The 20,291-nt window shown below is 45.0% G+C and overlaps 1 protein-coding gene and 1 long non-coding RNA gene across 6 annotated transcripts in view, besides 1 other annotated feature; one reads left to right on the top strand and one right to left on the bottom strand.

Annotated features, from left to right (window-relative positions):
• On the bottom strand, nucleotides 17,942-19,772 carry LARGE1-AS1 (LARGE1 antisense RNA 1). Its single transcript, XR_001755630.2, has 2 exons — nucleotides 19,474-19,772; nucleotides 17,942-18,590 (listed from the first exon to the last, which is right to left on the bottom strand). It is a non-coding gene; the product is annotated as an LARGE1 antisense RNA 1 (long non-coding RNA).
• The window catches only part of LARGE1 (LARGE xylosyl- and glucuronyltransferase 1), an 856,162-nt gene continuing 854,043 nt past the window's right edge, over nucleotides 18,173-20,291 (top strand). For 3 of the 5 annotated variants that reach the window (NM_001378627.1, NM_001362951.2, NM_001378624.1), the window contains exon 1: nucleotides 18,434-18,520. The gene's annotated coding sequence lies outside the window, so the exon portion shown is untranslated. Of the gene's footprint in view, nucleotides 18,377-18,433; nucleotides 18,521-20,291 lie in introns of those variants that run through there. The other 2 variants (NM_001362953.2, NM_001362949.2) reach the window with 1 other exon arrangement.
• Nucleotides 19,654-20,153: a silencer, noted in NCBI's record as "silent region_13650". NCBI's record gives its function as "represses an Ori minimal core promoter by ATAC-STARR-seq in GM12878 lymphoblastoid cells {active_cell/tissue: GM12878}" and the evidence as "EXISTENCE:reporter gene assay evidence [ECO:0000049][PMID:35858748]".

The following is a 20,291-nucleotide window of genomic DNA, read 5'->3' as shown; positions in this document are numbered from 1 at the left end:
CTCACTGCACACCTAACTCAAAGGTTTCCTTTTCTGTTACTGGAAAATCCCATGATGTCATAGATGTGGAATGGCAGCAGAGTAAAAGGCATAAGTATACTCGGAACCTGAGCAAGGGATGGATGCAATTTATTTGTGTCTTCAAAATCATTTGGGGTCCAGTCTTGCGTGTGTGTGTGTGTGTGTGTGTGTGTGTGTGTGCGTGCGTGTGCACTTGTGTATACATTTTAGTCAACCAACCAAGCCATCAATTAGAACGACTTGCAGTTGTTTGAGCTAGTACACTGGATTGAGTCTAAAGAATATGTGCCCAGATCAAAATTATCTTGCAACTGACCCTTTTTCACTAAGACTACGGTTTTTAATCGAACTCCCAGCTCAGAGCATGCTAGCATATGAGTTTATTTACAGGCATGGAGCACATAAATAGAACTAGCTTCTTCTTCAAAGATAATGGCCTTAGGCAAGAGAGTTTTAATACCTTCAAGCAAGAGAAAAAGAGCCTCATCAAACATGAGGAGGAACAGCTGCTTCACTTAATTCTAAGTGGGAGAATTACTGAGGGCTGGGAGTGTCCAGTGCTCTGAATCCTCTCATATATCCCTATTCCAACTCTTGAGGGCCTGCTATTTTGTCAGCAATAACCTAGTTTATACAATAACCTAGTTAAAAGACATTTGGTGATGCCGTGAATTCAACAGACATTGCATTGGCAATCAACAGAATCAAACTTTGCTTTTGGTTTTCAGCTGTAATAGATAGGAGATTATTTAACTACAGTCATTCAGAGTTCCTGGTTTCTGAGTTCTAAGCCAACATTTTAGAGATTTGAGGATATCATTTCATCTCTTTATGTTGTCACCTATAGTCCATGAATTCCTCATGCTCTTGTAGATACAAAACACAACACAAACACGACACATACCATTCTCTTTCTGCCTTTGTCTTTTCCATATTTTAAGTTTTAAAGCTTCTCAACCTGTTTACCCCCCTCACAGCTAACAATGTGATTTAATTACTAAGCTTGAAGCTGTACCTTCTAACCTCTGATGAAAGAAAACTCAAGAAAAATAAGGAGACAAATGTTCACTCTTTCCCTTCAGCTACAGAAAAGCAGATATGATTTTGTGTGAGGATGCCATACGTGTAAGTACATTTTCCCAACTAAGGAGTCTTGTAAAACTCTCAGACATGAGATGGTTTCAGTGGTCTGGAAAAGTTACCTTTAACCTAAAGAAAAAAAGCTGCAATTGTCTGTTATTTTAATTATTTGATGCCTGAATATAATATGTAGAGTGATATCCTCATTTTTATAAAGGCTACAAGTACTTGTGAAGTTTCTTTGACAAACCAGAAGGGTTTTATTAGTACTTCTCTGTTTATACTACATGCATGGATGTAAGAAAATTAAATAAACATTTTCACTCTGTTAGATTTCTTATTTAAACAAAGTATCTCAGACTATTTCAATAACATCCTTTAGATTGTTCTATGACAGCAAACACTCACTATGCCTTTGAGGGGATCAGATGCATTGATTTAATTAACTGTCAGACCACCATATACCTTAGTCTGCCAGATTCTCACAACCCCAATTAGGCTAGAAATGATTACAGATTACTCCCTTTCCCCTGATAGTCTATCATTGTCTGTAACCTACTCACTAGTGGCAATTTATGTACCAATGAGTGTTCTTGGTTGCAAACATCAGACAGAAAATTATTTTATTGGAAGGTTATTGTATAGCTCACAGAATATATGGAAGGAATTGAAATTAAAGCTCAAAACAAATGTAGCATTAAAGAAAGCAAAGACACAAAAACCACGATCAAGGCCATGTCTCTCAGAGAGAATCTGGTTAGGGTGCTACTGTAGGTACTGTCATCCCTCGAGAGTCACTGCTGCTGCCACAGATTTTTGATTCTGCTCTGTCCACCAGGAACAAACTCTGTATGGCCCTGTATGTTTGTTTTGCTTCCTCAAAAGGGACATTTGATTGGTTCAGTCTAGGTCACATGCTCATGCTCTCCTTGCAAGCGTGTGGAGAGAGGAATCTCTGCCCTCTGATAGACATTTGCATATCTATTATCCATGTGTTCTGGCTGCTCAGGACCCTTTGAACATCTTGTAATCTCTAAGTAGTCCACCCTGCCCCAGTGGGTCCCGACTTCCCAAAGCAGAAATTTGAAAAATCTCTCCTCCAGGTACCTTTGCAGCTTTGACCCAGACATGTGACCTCAGCTTCACCCATCAGCAGGGAACTACACAAGGAATCAGGCTCTGTGTGGAGCACCCATTTTGTGGGGTTGCTAGATGCAAGGTTGAGTTTGTCATGCAGAAGTGGCATCGAAGCTGTAGCAAGATATTGAGTTCCTAACAAGGGTGCAAACTCTAGTACTCAGGGGCAGCACAGCAGCTTTCTCAACAGGCCAGCTCCCCAGCATGGTTTCAGGCATTGTTCCTAAGCTCTTGAGTTTCTTTCTTCATCCCTCCCAATGATGTAAGTTAGCTCTCTTCAGCTTAGTCATCCAGAATCAGTTTGTTTTGATCAAAGTCAGGAGACCCTGGCTGGTGATGCGTACTCTACTTCAGTTTCCACATCAGAAATTGGGACCCTGGGCTGGGTGCGGTGGCTCACGCCTGTAATCCCAGCACTTTGGGAGGCCGAGGCGGGTGGATCATGAGGTTAGGAGTTTGAGACCAGCCTAGCCGACATGGTGAAACCCCATCTTTACTAAAAATACAAAAATTAGCTGGGTGTGGTGGTGTGTGCCTGTAGTCCCAGCTACTTGGGAGGCTGAGGCAGGAGAATTGCTTGAACCCTGAAGGCAGAAGTTGCAGTGAGCTGAGATTGTGCCACTGAACTCCAGCCTGGTGACAGATCGAGACTCCATCTAAAAAAAAAAAAAAAAAAAGAAGAAGAAGAAGAAAAGAAAAGAAATTGGGACCCTATTTTCCACTAAGACCAAAGTAATGAGAATTTCATCCTGAGTAAGAAGGATATTCTGGCTGGGTACAGTGGCTCACACTTGTAATACCAACACTTTGGGAGGCCAAGGTGGGCAGGTCACTTGAGCTCAGGAGTTCAAGACCAGCCTGGGCAACATGGTGAAATCCTGTCTCTACAATTTTTTTTTTTTTAATTAGCTAGGTGTGGTGGCATGCATCTGTGGTCCCAGGTACTCTGGAGGCAGAGGTGGGAGGATCACTTGAACCTGAGAGGTCGAGACTGCAGTGAGCTGTGATCATGCCACTGCACTCCAGCAGCACAACACACACACACACACAAACACACACACACACACACACGCACAAAGGAAAACAAACAAAAAAAGAAGGATATTCCAACCTTGGGTAGTCCCTTGTCCCCACAAAAATGACACACTAATACTACAGTAGTATTCTCACATGTATTATCTCCAGCATTTATAGCAATCCTTAAATTTGCTATGACTTTGTCACTTTAGAAATTAAATTAATCAAGGCTCAAAGAGATAAAGCAACTTGTATAAAGTTACACAAGCATGCAGGTGACAGAGCAGCAACTAAACCCATCAAGTTTCGATTCCCAACAAGCATTCTAAGCCAGAACGAATTCCTAACTCTTGTTATTTTCCACTATGACACACCTTTTTATTCACTGAAAGTAGTAATAAAAACACAAAACAGGCCGGGCGCGGTGGCTCACGCCTGTAATCCCAGCACTTTGGGAGACCGAGGCGGGCGGATCACCTGAGGTTAGGAGTTCAAGATCAGCCTGTTCAACATGGCGAAACCCTGTCTCTACTAAAAATACAAAAAAATTAGCCAGGCATGGTGGCGGGCACCTGTAATCCCAGCTACTCGGGAGGCTGAGGCAGGAGAATCACTTGAACCCAGGAGGCGGAGGTAGATCCCGCCACTGCACTCCAGCCTGGCGACAGAGCGAGACTCCGTCTCAAACAAAACCAAACAAAACACAAAACAAAAACCACAATGTTAACAACAGCAAACTTTTTCCTCCAAGAAAGCATGTTGTACCTATTGAAAGAATTTTCCGAAAGGAGGTATTATATAAGAACATTCCAGAAGGTGACAGACAATGTCCTCACCAAGAATTCCACAATGAACATAGAGGAGAGGTCCATTCAGTTGATTCTTGGGGCAGTAAAGCCTTCTATCTAAGCACACAGGGACTGAAGCTTCTGCTGTTTGAGCTGTGATGATCCCGAGGAAGTCCTTTAACCTCCTTGAGCTTCATCTTACTTGTCTAATAATAGAGCCATCTCCTTCATCATGATGCTGGAAAAATAAGATGCATATAAAGGACTCAGGGGGTGCAGTGTCTGACATACATTAAATGCTCAAGAAAGGTTGGCTATTATTATCCTTGGGTGACCTTTGATAAAATGTGGAGGCAGTCCACAGAGAAGCACGTCAGCTGAGGTTCTGAGGGAGGCTATAGTGATGAGGTCGAAGCCTTACATGGGTCCAAGTGGATCCTGTTCCTCTACTGGAGTTAACTCCTAGGCTGAGTTTTATTGTTTTTCCCAGAGAAAATAACATCTACCTTCCCTAATTCACAGTCATTAAGTGAGTAAAAGAAGATAATGTATTTGCCAAAAAAAAAAAAAAAAAAAAAAAAAAAGCACTGGGAAAAAAAGTTAAATGCCATCAAGTTGTAAGGTATTGTTGTCCTTGTGGTTGTTATTATTTCTGGAAAGCTTTTACTCTGGTAAATAATAAGACTTACTCTTGAAAGCCCTTTAAGTACATAGGGCCTAAATATGTGACCTAAAGGGAAAAAAAATGATTTCAGGGATTTAAATCAGTCTGGCAAAAGGAAGGTTGAACAGGGTGATTTAATTACTTTTTGTAACTGAATATTGCCTCCACATGGAGGGTGGTGACCAAATCGTCTGGTTTCTACCAAGGTCTAAAGAATAGGAAATTAATTTTTGGTGCAAGTGGAGAAGATTAAGTTAACACTGAGAATCACCTCCAGACATTCGGTTGGAAGGATTAAAGATGCCATATGTAAATGCTATCCATGTAACATTAGGGGCTTTCCAGAATGAGAAGTCAAGGTGGATGCTTGAACCAAAAAAAAGAGCCAGTGGTTTATAAAATAAGATGATAAATTGTATTCTAAAGGGAAGCTGGGATGGGCCATGAGCTCTCTAAAATGGAAGCTTGGAGCCAAGCAGCTGATAGGAAGTAGTCCCAGCAAATCCATGATTATTATTATTATTTTTGAGATGGAGTCTCGCTCTGTTGCCCAGGCTGGAGTGCAGTGGTATGATCTCGGTTCACTGCAACTTCCGCCTCCCGGGTTCAAGCGATTCTCCTGCCTCAGCCTCCCAAGTAGCTGGGACTACAGGCATGCGCCACCAAGCCCGGCTAGTTTTTGTATTTTTAGTAGAGACGGGGTTTCACCATCTTGGCCAGGCTTGTCTCGAACTCCTGACCTCGTGATCCACCCACCTTGGTCTCCCAAAGTGCTGGGATTACAGGCATGAGCCACCACGCCCAGCCAAATCCATGATTATTAAAATGCCATCCTATTCCCACTGGGAGGGAGGTAGAAGGGGATGGGGTGAGAGAGAATAGCATAAACCAATTCAGTTTTGAGTCAAAGAATCACTGACAGTTTTCAGGTAAGCTCCCTGTTGAAGACAGGGTGTTCCCAGAATAGAGTTTAAGATTAGGCTACATGAGGAGGTCAAGTCTGTATTGCAGTGAGAATTAGAGAGATGCAGTTGAGAGCATGACAAAAGTTTGAGCTGGGTTTCCTGCTCGTCCTAACAGAGGCAAAACTGGAAGACAGAGTGACAGAATATTGTTGGAGAAGGTTCCAGAACTGTGCTGACTCGGATCAGCATTAATTCATGCTAAGTGAATTAGTGAAACCCTGTCTCTACTAAAAATACAAAAATTAGTTGGACTTGGTGGTGCACGCCTGTAGTCCCAGTTGCTCAGGAGGCTGAGGCAGGAGAATCGGAAGCTCAAGGTAAATCAAGCCTGAGTTTTCAGTGGGACCACACTGCTACTTGGCAATCCATTTATTCATCTCTTTTGATTCCCCTAAATACCCTCAATAGCTGTTCATGTCCTATTGTTCTCTTCAAGACTCTCCCTCCTACTCACTAAGCTCCAGCTATACTGAACTTTGTTTAGTTGTTCAGACATGGCAAGTTCTCCTGCCTCATTGCTTTGCACATGCTATACCTCCTACCTGGAACACTTTTTAAACTCACTAATTCTCTGAATAACTCCTACTTTATTTATTTATTTTTTTGAGACAGAGTCTTGCTCTGTCGCCCAGGCTGGAGTGTAATGGCACGATCTCGGCTCACTGCAACCTCCGCCTCCCAGGTTCAAGCAATTCTCTTGTCTCAGCCTCCTGAGTAGCTGGGATTACAGGCACATGCTGCCATGCCTGGCTAATTTTTTGTATTTTAGTAGAGATGGGTTTCACTGTGTTGGCCAGGCTGGTCTCGAACCCCTGAGCTCAGGCAATCCACCTGCCTCGGCCTCCCAAAGTGCTAAGATTACAGGTGTGAGCCACCGCGCCCGGCCCATTACTCCTACTTTATATCTCAGCCTCAATGTCCCTTCCTCAGAAAGACTGTCTTTTAAAAAATTATTTTACTTTAAGTTCCAGGATACACGTGCAGAATGTGCAGGTTTGTTACCTAGGTATACATGTGCCGTGGTGCTTTGCTGAACTTATCAACCCATTATCTAGGTTTTAAGCCCTCCATGCATTAAGTATTTGTCCTAATGCTCACTCTCCCAGCCAGGCACCGGTGTGTGTTGTTCTTCTCCCTGTGACCATGTGTTCTCATTGTTCATCTCCCACTTATGAGTGAGAATATGCGGTGTTTGATTTTCTGTTCCTGTGTTAGTTTGCTGAGAATGATGGCTTCCAGCTTCATCCATGTCCCCACAAAGGGCATGATCTCATTCTTTTTCATGGTTGCATAGTATTCCATGGTGTATATGTCTCACATTTTCTTTATCCAATCTATCATTGATGGGTATTTGAATTAGTTCCAAGTCTTTGCTACTGTAAATAGTGCTGCAATAAACATATGTGTGCATGAGTCTTTAGAGTAGAATGATTTATAATCCTTTGGGTATATACCCAGTAATGGGATTGCTGGGTCAAATGGTATTTCTGGTTCTAGATCCTTGAGAGATTCCCACACTGTCAGAAAGACTGTCTTGAACTCTAACTTTGGTTATGTCCCATAGTACCTCTCCCATTTTATTTGTGGCATTTGCCCCACTTAATAATAATGTATATATTTGTGTTCATTTGCTTAATGTTTGTCTGTCCAACTAGAGAATACCTTCTGTAAGACAAAGAACATGTCTGTTCTGTTGATTACTAGCACCAGTCTAGAACGGTAGGCCCTCAACTAATCCCGGTTGAATGGATTAATGTTCATCAACTCTGATGTCTCCATTAGAGACCTTTTCCACCAGTTTTCAGCATGGATTTTACCTGTCTTTACCAAGTTTTTATTTTCAACTACACAGCTATGGGTGGAGATGGAGAAGCTTCGTCATGCGCTACCTTTATTGGGCCTGTAGAAACTGCAGGAGCCTGGAATTCATAGATGGGACCTTCAACAGAACTCCAACCACCTGCCTTCTATTTGAGAAACTCTAGGTATTGACTCACCAGACTCTGAAAGGTCTAGACACCACAGGAAAAGCAGAATAGGGACACACAGTGAGAGGAAGAGCTGGGAATTGTAGTTTTGCACACTCCACTTGTTCAGAGTATCAGGGAGCCAGCTGGAAGAGAAAGACAAGTTTTTTTAGTTTTGATTCAGCAAAGCCACATAAGATGTGAGTCAGCCAGGGAGGGGACTTTCAGCCAGGAGCTATTTGTGCATATCAACCTTTTGTCTAGCTGTAGAGCTGAAAAATAGTTCAAAACTACTACTCTGAGAATTGGGCGATGGGAAATCCGTCAACCTAGGGTATTAGTAAACACTGGGTGTAGATGGATTTGTTCTTACTTGAGGATAAATGAGAAGAAATCACCAACCACACTAAGTCAGTGGAAAACACTGCACAATAAGAGAAAGGGAAGGAAAGGGAATATCTTAAAGGCTTAAAGAAAGAGAAATTGTCTCCAAATGATTTACTATGGGAAATAAAGTAATGCTTTAGAATGTGCTTGACATCGATAAAACTGTAGCAGAAAGGCCAAGATGTCAAGACAAAGAAAATGAAATTAAAAGGGAGACTAGTGGCATAAATAAGGATTGTAAGGAGAATGAAAAATGAAACAGAAATGGAAAAATTAAAGTCTACAATGAAGCCGTAAAGAGCAGAATTGAACATATGGAAATGTAAGTCAGTAATGTGGAAGATGAACCAGGGTTGCCCTCTTAGAAGGCATTTATCAATGATTTGGGTTGAAATAATGAGATAGTGAATGACACGTAATATTAGATGGAACATACAGACAAAAAATAAATACAAGGCACTATCCTGAATCTTTACCCACTCCCTCCCCAGCTCTTTAGTTAAGACTGCGAACAACCAGCCGGGCGCTGTGGCTCACACCTGTAATCCCAGCCCTTTGGGAGGCCAAGGCGGGCAGATCACGAGGTCAGGAGTTCAAGACCAGCCTGGCCAGCACGGTGAAACCCCACCTCTACTAAAAAAATACAAAAACTTAGCCAGGCATGGTGGTATGTGTGTGTAATCCCAGCTACTTGGGAGGCTGAGGTAGGAGAAATTGCTTGAACCTGGGAGGCGGAGGTTGCAGTGAGCCAAGATCATGCCACTCTCCAGCCCAGGCAACAAAGTGAGACTCCGTCTCAAAAAAAAAAAAAAAAAAGATTGCTAACAACCAGCTGGGCACGGTGGCTCACACCTGTAATCCCAGCACTTTGGGAGGTTAAGGTGGGCGGATCACGAGGTCAGGAGTTCGAGACCAGTTTGGCCAGCACGGTGAAACCCCATCTCTACTAGAAAATACAAAAAAATTAGCCAGGCATGGTGGCACGTGCCTGTAATCCCAGCTACTCGGGAGGCTGAGGTAGGAGAATTGCTTGAACCTGGGAGGCGGAGGTTGCAGTGAGCCGAGATCGCGCCACTACACTCCAGCCTGGGCAACAGAGCAAGACTCCATCTCAAAAAAAAAAAAAAAAAAAGATTGCGAACAACCTTCAGAAAGCCCCTGAGGTTTTGCTTCTAGTGGCTCAGAGCTGTCCCTCCAACTTCATGTCTTAGTCTTACCTTTTATTCTGTTCTCCTTTTTTTTAAGTACTGGCACTTTGTAGAGGCAAGGTGGCATGGTGGTTAAGAGCACACTTCTAGAAATAAACCGCCTGTGTTTGGATTCCAGGTCTACTGTTACTGTGTTATCTTTGGTAAGTTATCTGACAGCTTTAGGTCCTAGTTATCTAATCTGTAAGTGGCCATGATGGTGACAGTAACAGTAACTGTTAACACCTCACAGGGCTTACTATAATTAAATGAGGTAATGCATGAAGGTGTTTTGAATAGTGCTAGTTGCAAATTGCAACTCCATGGTAAATCATTATTCTAATTTTTTTACATTATCCCTGGTTTCTTCCTTTCTATTCAACTCCAATTAGTACTTCTGGGGTGATATTTCATTTGAGGCTTTTAAGGGACACTCTAGATTTTGGGTTCTGTCTTGGTTGTATTTTCTGGAGCCCACGTAGAAATCTTATCCTTAGCTCTTGAATGCTACCTTAACCACAGTCTGCGGCTAGTATCCCAGATCCCCACATAGGGAAGTCAAACAAGAATTATTGATATTTTTTGAAAGGAACTAGAATAAACAAGTAAACAGAAGTAAGAAGGCCGGGCACAGTGGCTCACGCCTGTAATCCCAGCACTTTGGGAGGCCCGAAGCAGGCGGATCACGATGTCGGGAGATTGAGGCCATCCTGGCTAACACAGTGAAACCCTGTCTCTACTAAAAATACAAAAAATTAGCCGGGCGTGGTGGCGGGCGCCTGTAGTCCCAGCTACTCGGGAGGCTGAGGCAGGAGAACGGCATGAACCCGGGAGGCAGAGCTTGCAGTGAGCCGAGATCGTGCCTCTGCACTCCAGCCTGGGGGACAGAGAGAGATTCCGTCTCAAAAAACAAAAAAAGTAAGAAGTATGCCCAGATTTACTCTGTGGGGGCAATTTGGTTAGCACTTAGGAACTGGGGGACCGGAGTGGGGGGTGGGAGGAAGGCTATATTAGGAGGCTGATGATAGACAGGTAGGTTTTGTGAGATTCCAGGTGAGAGATAGGGTCTGAGGTAAGACAGTAACAGTTTGGATGAAGCAGAGGGAATGGATTTGAAGGATATTCTGAGGGTAGGTTGGACAGGGATGGGTGATTGAGGAAAAACAGTAGATGAAGCTCATGAATAGTTAAGAATTTAACTTATTATCTTTTAGTGTTTTATCTCTATCTACTTGACCGTGAGCCACTAAAAGAACAAGAACTGTCATTTTTCTTAAAATCCTCAATGGTCAGCATAGTAACTGACACAAAGCAGGGATGTATTTTCAACTAATCTTGGATCTAACTTAGCTTTTCAGTCTCTGATCTCTTAAACAAATGCTTTACCATAGCAATCACACCTTCTGCTTAACATCCTTGCTGTTTCTCAAAGCTCGAAACTTCTTCCCTTTACAGACGGCCAAATCTTGACAAATCTTTAAAGTCCAGCAAGGGCCTCTTCCTTTTAGAAGTCTTCCAAAGACAAGATGGACCATGGTAGCCTTGCTCTTCCAGATTGACGGCACTGGTTGTCCTCAATGCATCTTTCATGATTACTCAGTGACAACCCTTCCATTTATCTAATACTTGCAAAGTCATTTAACTCATCAAAGTAAATGCTTTGTTCCATGAATTGGATCTGGAGATTCTCAAGTATCGGAACCATACCCACATTTCTTTCAGTGCACTCTCCCCACTACTCTCACCCCGTAGAACGCATAGCACTTGAGCATGTGAATAGCAGCTACCCAATATATCATGGGCCACATAATCACTCGGTTTCCACTTCTAAATACGCAGGTTCCATTTAAAATCTTTTTAAGTTAGAAATTCTTTTAAAATATGGTTTAAGATAAGAAACTCCTCACTTTCTAGCAGGACTGGATAAAACACTGCCAGACACAGCCCCTCCCTGGCATCCAGACATTCTTTAATCTCCCAAGAGAGAGAAAACCAATTTGAGGCTTGGATCTGGGAGTTTAACTGGGACACAATTACATGCCCTCTTCTCACAGAGGTCATCAAGCCAAATCCCCTAATTCTGTGAGCACCGCGCACTCAAGTCCAAGCGTACAAAAATCAAAGCCGAAGCTCCAAGTGCCAAGGTGAATAAAGGACCTGTTACAGGAACTTTAAATCATCAGCATTTCTCAAGTCAGATTCTTGCCAGAGCATAGATCTACCAAGGTTAAAGCAAGGGTTCTGGAAGCAGACTCCAGGTCCCACGATAGAAATACTAGCAGAAACTACATGGCAGAGGCAAGGATGGTTAAAGGACCAACCGAGCAGGTGGGGTTTCAGAAGGACCAACCAAACAGGTGGGGTCTCAGGATTTGATTGCAGATGCAATAGGAAATTAGAATGATACCCAGTCCCCCAGGCAAAAGGAAGGTGTGGCTGAGCAGAACAACCATATGTGATGAGTGTTGGGTGGAGGATGGGAACTTTCTTTCTTCCACAAAAAAGTGGAAGAAAGCAAACCCCTTCCCTCATGCTCTTTTATAAGGGCCCTAATCCCTGCTGTCATGACTTAATCACCTACTAAAGGCTCCCCCTCTTAATACAATGATGCATGTGGGTCATCCTAGGCCTCTGTTTCACACCATTATAGAAGAGCAAATAATTTCCAAACTGAATTTCACTCTGGAGGAAAGGGAGCCCCTTGTACCCTTCCAGCATTGGCTATAATTGCATCCAGGAATAGGGTGGATGAGAATTGCTGAGTCTGAATCTTTTGGCAGTAGGTCTTTATTACCTGTATCAGTTAGGATGTTCAAGTAAGAGAAGACTCAATTAAAACTTACACAATAGGTAGATTTTTTTGGCTCACATAAACAAGGAGCTTGGAGTCAGGACAAATGTCAGGGTTGGTTTCATTCAGTGACTTAATGATATCATCAAGGGTCCTAGAGCAGGTAGTTAATTGGTACCCAAGAGCCATTTCTCCTCCTTTGCTAACAAAATCCAAAAATGTTCCATTTCTAGATGGTGATTCATGACAAACTTAAGTCAATCACAAGGAGAAGTCTACTAATAAAAGGGAAGCCTCTTTCTACATGCTTTTTAGCCCCCTGCTTTTGTTAATGGCTGTTGTGAAACCTCAGTTCTTGTCTTCTTAGTTTAAAAGAATTTAAACAAGAGACACACAGCAAAGGAGATGCAGCATAGAGCAATTTATTGCAAAGGAGGAAGAATGCTATGAAAGCTAGGTGCAGAATAGACAGTACACCCTGAGAAAAGATTCAGGGCGGGCTGCTCCTAAGGATGAGACAGCAAAGACTGGCACTAGGGACACTCCCTTTATGGGAGTCTTATATGATTATTCATAACGGGGTGGGGGAGAGGTGTTACTAGTAAGCATGTTCTGGGTGGCCCTCTAGAAGCCCATGCGCAGTAGCTGTACATGCTTGTTCATACGTTTCATGTCTCGTTAGCATCTTAAATATCCACCCAGGGGTGCTTTTTTTTTTTATCATTACAATGAGCAAAGGGTCAGTCTGAGGACAGGTGAAATAAAAATGCACATGCATTTTGCACAGGGGAAATTCCCAACAGGAGATAGCTTTGCTTGAGTGGGTTGACTCAAGTATGAATGCTTGACTACAGTATGACTACAGTATGAATGCTGGGGCTTACTGTGTTGATGGTGCAATTAGTACAGTTGCTGCATCCCGAGGACATGGTTACTTCCTTGACTATCCTGCCTCAGTTTGGATGCTGGTTTGGGAACACAATGTCTGGAGCTCTCACAGCCATCTTGTGATCATGAGGAAACATGGAATGCCAATATGCTGAGGAGGCAGAATATCAAGACTAGAAGATCTTGAGTCCTTGACGAAATTGTTGAGCGGTTGCACCAAACCTGGACTTACTTACCTCGAGATTTATCATTACGTGAGATCATTATTATTTAAGGTTAGCTGGGTATTTCTGTTATTTGCAGCTCAAAGTATCACTAACTGATATGGATTGAGTTTTCTGTCTCTCTGTGCTCTGTTATCCTCAGTGTCAGCTTTATCTTCTGTAGTGGCAAAATGACTGCAGAAATACTAAGCTTTGTATCTGTACATCAAATTGGTCCAGAAGGTAAAAACACACTTTTAGTGATCCAGCATACACATAAGAGTTGTGAGATTCACCCTGACTGGACCAGCCTAGGTTATCTACTCAGCTTTGAACCAATGATAGTGGTCAGTGGCATGGAATATATTGATTAGCTTATGCTATTCAGGATCTGCTCCTGGAACTGAGAATAAGAATCAAAACCAGGATTCTTTTAGCAAATGCTCTCAATGCCTTGCTCATATCCCCTAGGCTCACCTGGGTGATCACCTCCACCTTTGATGGGCAGTTTCCATATACACTAAAGACTTCCAACCTTAAGCACCTGCAACTCTCTGCTGAGGTTATTCTCGGGCCATGGAAGCACAAGTGAAGTCTCAGGCGTTATGAATTCCCAGGAACCACCCTCAACAGATGACGGAGTTTGATGGATAAATATTTCTTTAGGTTTCTTGACCTAGTGAGATGGTTCTTAAGTTATGTTCTACATTTGTAGTGTCCAACACAATAAGCCAACACATGTGGTTATTACAATTCAAATTAATTGACAATAGATAAAATGAAACATTCAGTTCTCAGTCACAGTGGCCTCATTTCAAGTACACAACAATTGCATGTGGCTAGTGTCTACCATATTGGACAGTGCAGATAGGTCATTCCATTGCACAGAAAGTTATTTTGGGCAGTGCTATTCTGCACAATCTCTCTGAGCATACTCTCAGAACTGAGCACATGTTGATCACTTATTAATTCACCTTTCTTTAGCCTTCTTTCCTTACCTATTTTGTTTCCCCACACCTTCACTCTATCTTAGTCCATTTGTGCTGCTATAACAAAATACCTAAGACTGGTAATTTATAAAGAACAAAAATTTATTTTTTACATTTTTGGTGGCTGGGAAGTCCAAGATTATGGCACTGGCGTTTGGTGTCTGGCAAGGGCCTTCCTGCTGTATCTTCACATGACAGAAAAATGGAAGAACACAAACCCACTCCTTCAAGCCCTTTTATAAAGGCCCTAATCCCTGCCCTCATGATTTAATCACCACCTAAAGGCTCCATCTCTGAATACAATCACATTGGTGATTACCTTTCAACATGTGAACTTCAGGAAATACCCAAATCGCAGCACTCTGCTTCCTGGAATCACCTCCCAAATAAGCTTCTTGCCGCAAAGTCCTTGTCTCAGGGTTTTGAAGAATCCTAACCAAGGAAATACTCTTAGGAAGAGGAAAGAGAGGGAAGGATGTTGTTGACTTCCAACAAATGTCTTCTACATTCTTGCTACTCAAAGCATGGTCCACGAATGGCAGATTTTTAGAAAAGCAGAGTCTCGCCAGGAGCAGTGGCTCACGCCTATAATCCCAGCACTTTGGGAGGCCGAGGCAGGCGGATCATCTGAGGTCAGGAGTTAGAGATCAGCCTGGCCAACGTGGCGAAACCCCGACTATACTAAAAATACAAAAATTAGCTGGGCGTGGTGGCAGGTGCCTGTAATCCCAGGTACTCAGGAGGCTGAGGCAGGAGAATCACTTAAACCTGGGAGGTGGAGGTTGCAGTGAGCCGAGATTGCGCCACTGCACTCCAGCCGGGCGACAGAGCGAGACCCTGTCTCAAAACAAACAAACAAAAAAACAAAAAACAAAAGAAAAGCAGAATCTCAGGCCTCACCCCAAACCTACATAACCAGGATCTGCATTTTAACAAGATTCCCCAGGTGATCTGGCTACACAGTAAACTTTGAGATGTTCTGCCTCATAGCTCTTTTAAACAGAGGGAGGAGAAAACAGAAACTGATAAAAACACACCCTTTAAACAGGGCTTCACACTAAAGAGCTCCAAAAGGTATATGTCATAATGTTTCATTTCAGGACTCTGGTGCTTTTACCAATGTTTAAATTTTTTGTTTTCATTTTTGTCTTGAGGATCTTATGGCCCACTAGCTTGAGCTCCCCTTTCCTTGAGAAGAAAAGCTCCCTTTGTCCTTTGAGTTGACCTCTTTGGCACTGATTTTTTTCTTTCTGTCTCTAGAGGGGCTTTGACTCCCCAGTTCAGCATTTTATCATAAGGTGGTCAGAGAGCCAATACCTGACAAAGTCCTACTCTGACGGACTTTCACAGCTGGCGAGTGAATAAACCCTCTCTCCTAAAAGACAATGGGATTCTCTATCTACAGCCAAATTTGTTCTAATTAGCTGGCTCTCAGCTTTGCAGGGGCAAGTCTTCTGGAGGTTAATAATGCTATTTTGAGCATACCTGTATCTCGCCTGTTAATGAACATGATGATGTCAGCATAAAATAGTTTCATTCCACAAAGAAAGACTTTATCCCCATTCCCTGTCTCATGTCTCCATTCTGGACTTGCTTGTTTTTACTTAAATTATGTTCAAATCACACTTCCATTAGTGTTAATTTGGTGGCTTTTGCAATGTTTTTTCATTCTTTACCTAACAGGTGATTTCTTCTTTGCTTAGCCCGGATGGAGACATTTGTTTTGTTCAGCAATGTCTTTTGATTATTGGCCTAAATAAAAGAGCAATGTTTCATGCCCGGTGCTTAAATTTTTGCTTGAAGTGTGTCAGGACAGAGCATCTTTGGCAGATATTTATCTAGCATTGGTTTAAGGAAAACTAGGCTTTTTCAAACCTGTGCTATCTGAATGCTGTTTGATTCTTGACTCTCATAAAGGACATCTTAACTTTACCTACTGGTAAGATATGGAAAAAATACTATGTGACTGCTAAGGATCTGGAAGCCATGAAAATTTAATTGCTAGTTAAAAATTTTAGGCAGCTTTCTGTAGGATCAGACCCGACATTTAGATGTTTTGATAAATATAACATTAATTAAGATACTGCAATCCTTCCATACTGGCTAAGTAGCCCTTGGAGTAATCACCCCTCCACTACCACTGGCTGCCATTCCCACTATACCCTGTCTCCTCACCCCTGCTGCAGGAACCACTCCTTCCTCCCAACATCAACACCACCATTTCACCAGAACCCAGCACTAAAGAATAAATGTCTGGCCTAGCAGAAGCCTTCAGGACTCAGCTCTAATGCTAGTGCCCCTGTGGCTGGCTTGACTTCAATTAAGTTGGCAGGTGGGTGCCCTGCTGTACAGGTTGCTTAATCTTTTAAATATCCTCTTTGTGAGAATTCAATCGTCTTGTTATGTAGCTCTTGAAGAATGTGCAAAACATTCAGAAAACAGTCCTCAAATCTTTGAAAGAACGTCCTGTTTGGAATGGCAAACATAATTGTGCCGACTTTGAGACAGTTAAGAGTATTTGGTAACCCTCCTCTCAAGGATACAATATTTCCTTTCTTGGAGGTGAGAAAAGAGTTGAGAAACTAAATTGACTTAGGAGTCAAAATTGGACTCAGGTCATTTATTACATAAAACTAGATTTGCCTCCAAACTTTGCACTATGTTTTTGTTTGTTTGTTTTGAGATGGAGTTTTGCTTTTGTCGCCCAGGCTGGAGTGCGATCTCGGCTCACTGCAACCTCCGCCTCCCCGGTTGAAGCAATTCTCCTGCCTCAGCCTCCTGAGTAGCTGGGATTACAGGCGCCCACCAACACGCCCGGAACATTTTACCATTTTTAGTAGAGTCGGGGTTTCGCCATGTTGGCCAGGCTGGTCTCTAACTTCTGACTTCATGTGATCCGCCCGCCTCAGCCTCCCAAAGTGCTGGGACTACAGTGCACTGTGTTCTTAACGTGCCTTTAGATTCCCCAGTTCCTAATATCAGGCACACAGAAAAACGGAGGTGAGAGTGTTTCCTGGCTTCCTCTTTGAGATGCCTTTAGGGCCCCCTAGTGGCTGCTTTAAGACCTCAGGTTTCTTAGGATTCGGTCTCCTTGACCCTAATAAAAAATAAGAGACCTTTCCGAATCTCTTCAGTGACAGGTACAATAACTGTGTGGAGATAAACAGATAACAGTTGGTTTAGATAGCTCATTTTTTTTTTTCATTTTTCAGTTCTCAGCAAAAGCTGCGCTCATTCTTTACAAATAACAGATATATCACTTTACATATTTTATTCTGCATTCTCATACTATATCGTAGCGGAAATCCTTTTAAGACATTTGTATCTTGGTTGTGTCAAAAGGCTATAATTCCTGGTAACTACATCCTACTTCAGGGTTTCCATGTATATGTATATACATATTTAGTTGCTTGGACTGGGGAGTTGAGGAGCTTTACAATTTTCCAACGTAATACTTTAAACCTGGGGCTTGATGTACTAACCAGAGGACTCAGTATGTGGCACATTTCAGTCTGACAACATTAATATCATTTAGAGCATTAGCTATGCCACTGACTGCAGGCACTTGCAACCTTGATTTGATAAAACAAAGCTTTTCCACATTTAAGGTGCTTATTGACCAATGCAAGTACACTTTGTGAAATCCACTAATAAGGCATTATGTCTTCAACGTGCCTTACTGACCAGCGTGAACATTGCTAGCTCCCACACCATGGTCACATTTTTCTTTCTTAGATTCCATCTAGAGAATGTACTACACTTGAGTCATTATAATGGAGATGTTTCTTTCCCGGAAGCTTATCTTTTAGTTTCTGATGTTATTCAACTATTTCTCCTTCGCTTGTAAATTTCAGGTCTTTTCCTTTCCTCAGTCACGTTACCTTTATTAATATGCTAATGTGCTGTAATAATGCATTTTACACCACTAATGAAGTGAAGCAAAGCAAAACGTAAAAAGAAAGTACAAATTCTCCCTTTAACTTTACCCGGTTCCGGGGAGGGGGTAGGGGTGAGAGAGGAGGAAGAGAGTAGGAAGGAAGGACATTCGGGCGGCAAAAAAATAAAAATGATCCCCTTGTTTTCAGCGCGTTCTGGAACAGAGCTGCACGTCAGAGGAAGAACTGAGCAGCCTTCGAGCTAAAAGACTTGGCATTAAACTTTGACACTTTAATGGTCTCTAGGATATTAGATAGTATTTTTTCATATAATGTTCTTCTCCGACACGGTAATGGCATCAGAAACAGAATCTGCTATGCCTGCCAACGTGCACGGTGAGGCTCATCGCCGCAGAGGTAAGACAGCAGGACCCCAGCTTCGCAGTTAACTTATCCCGAAGCTCCAAAGCAAACGTCTTTTACTTCTTCGCCGGGGACGCTGCTGTACCACCGCTGCCTCCCTTTCGCATTCTGCTGGGCTCGGTCAGCCGCTGAGATTAGGTAAACAGCGCTCCGGAGCCGGGGCAAAGCGGGCGCTGCTGCTGCTGGTGGGGGTCGTTGTTTCACGAGGCTGGAGGGAAGGGGGATGGGAGAAGGGTCCCAGCTCGGTAAAGCCAAAGGCCGAGAGTGTGGTTACCGAGGCGGGAGCCAGGTCCGGAGCCAAGCAGGGGCCAAGCCTCCGAAGCCCTTGCCGCCCCACCCCCCCAGCCCGACCTCGAGGAGTGGGGTCAGCTGGGCAACCCAAGCTCGGCGGCCCTTTCCCGCGCGCCCCCTCCCCAGCCCATCCTTCCCCTGCCCCTTCCAAGAACTAGGGTGGGCTTCCCGCTGCCTCGCTCGAGTCCTGGAGAGCGGAGAGGCGCGCAGAGGGAAGGCAAAGACCCGGCGGCCCGCCCGGCTGGGGAGAGGTGGAGACCCGGGGGGAAGGGGACCCCAGAAGCCCTGGGACCGAGCTGCGGAAAAACCCGGGAGCTGGATCGCGCGCCCGGAGCTCCGGTCTCCGAGTCCGAGTTGTGCAGCTCTCGGCGTCCTCTTTCTCTCCCTGCCTCTCTGCTTTCGCCTCCTCTGGGTCTTCTCTCGAGGGCATCCTCCTTCCATCCATTCTCACACCCCCGCTCCTGTGCCCCGACCCATTTCACCCACTTCTCCTGTGGCTCGGGAGGACTCTCCGTACCCCCACCCTGGTCCCTAGAACTGGGAGGCTGGAAGTCCATTCAAGGGATGTTGCGCGCCGGGTTCTTATGCCAAGAGGGAAAGAGCGAGAATAAAATCAGCAGGGGAGGGGCGTGTTGTGCGTGCATGGGGTGTGTGTTTGGGGTGGAGGAAAAAGAAATGTAGTTTCCTCAGAGGAAGAGGAAGCCTTGGACAGGATTCTTGGATACCGATCCCAGAAAGATGCCGTCAGAGCCCTTCGGCGGGGCTCCTCACAGACTCCGGCTGCCCCACAGCATGCCCACCTCCGAGAGAAGCTGCGACCCGAGGCGGGGAAACTTCCTACTTCTCACGACGGCTGTTTTGTGCAATTTGGGGAGCAGGCTGCATGGTCCTGCAAGCCTGCGAGCCTCTCTACCACGGCAGCTGCGGGCCCGTCCCGCTTCCCTTCCCCCTTTTTCCGCGAGGCACGCCAAGCCCGAGGCGGCCGGGAGCCGCCGGGGTTGGGGGAAGAAGGGCGGGGAGCTCCCAGCTTGCACCCTTTCATCCCGACCCGGCCCGGGATCCCGGCTCCGGGTGTTGCTTCCGCCTGCCTGCCAGCCAGCGAGCTGAAGAAGCACCGGGGCGGAGTCTCGCCGGGGGGCGGAGCCTGTGCGGGGGCGAACTCTCGGTCCGCGCGGCTGCGGCGCTTGCCATTGGCCGGCCGCTCGGTCACGGGGTCGGGGGCGGGCGCCGACGCGGGCGCCGGCCCCGCCCCCGCTCGGAACCCAGCCCCGGCTCGCGGTCCCCCCCGGCTGCACAGACATGACACAGACACACAGTCACTGCAGCTGCTGAGCGAGTCCGGCGCTCTGGGCACGCGGAGGCGGCGGGGCCAGCCCGGAGCCCGGACCCCAGCGCCCGCCCCTGCCGGTTCCCGCGCGGCGGCCCACTCCTGGCCGGGCGCGGGAGGCGGGGATCGCGCGCCGGCTCCGGCCAGCGGCGCCCGGCTGCCCGCGGCGGCTGCAGCGGCCGCCCAGCTCCGAGCGCCGGGCGCTCCGGGAAGCCGGCGCATCTCGGAGGCGGCGGCGGCGGCCAAGGCCGGCGAGCGCTCCCGGCGGCGGGGGCCGCCCGCCTCGGCTCC

This window comes from Homo sapiens, chromosome 22, assembly GCF_000001405.40.
Source record: "Homo sapiens chromosome 22, GRCh38.p14 Primary Assembly".
NCBI lineage: Eukaryota > Metazoa > Chordata > Mammalia > Primates > Hominidae > Homo > Homo sapiens.
This window is presented reverse-complemented; position numbering and strand designations above follow the sequence as displayed.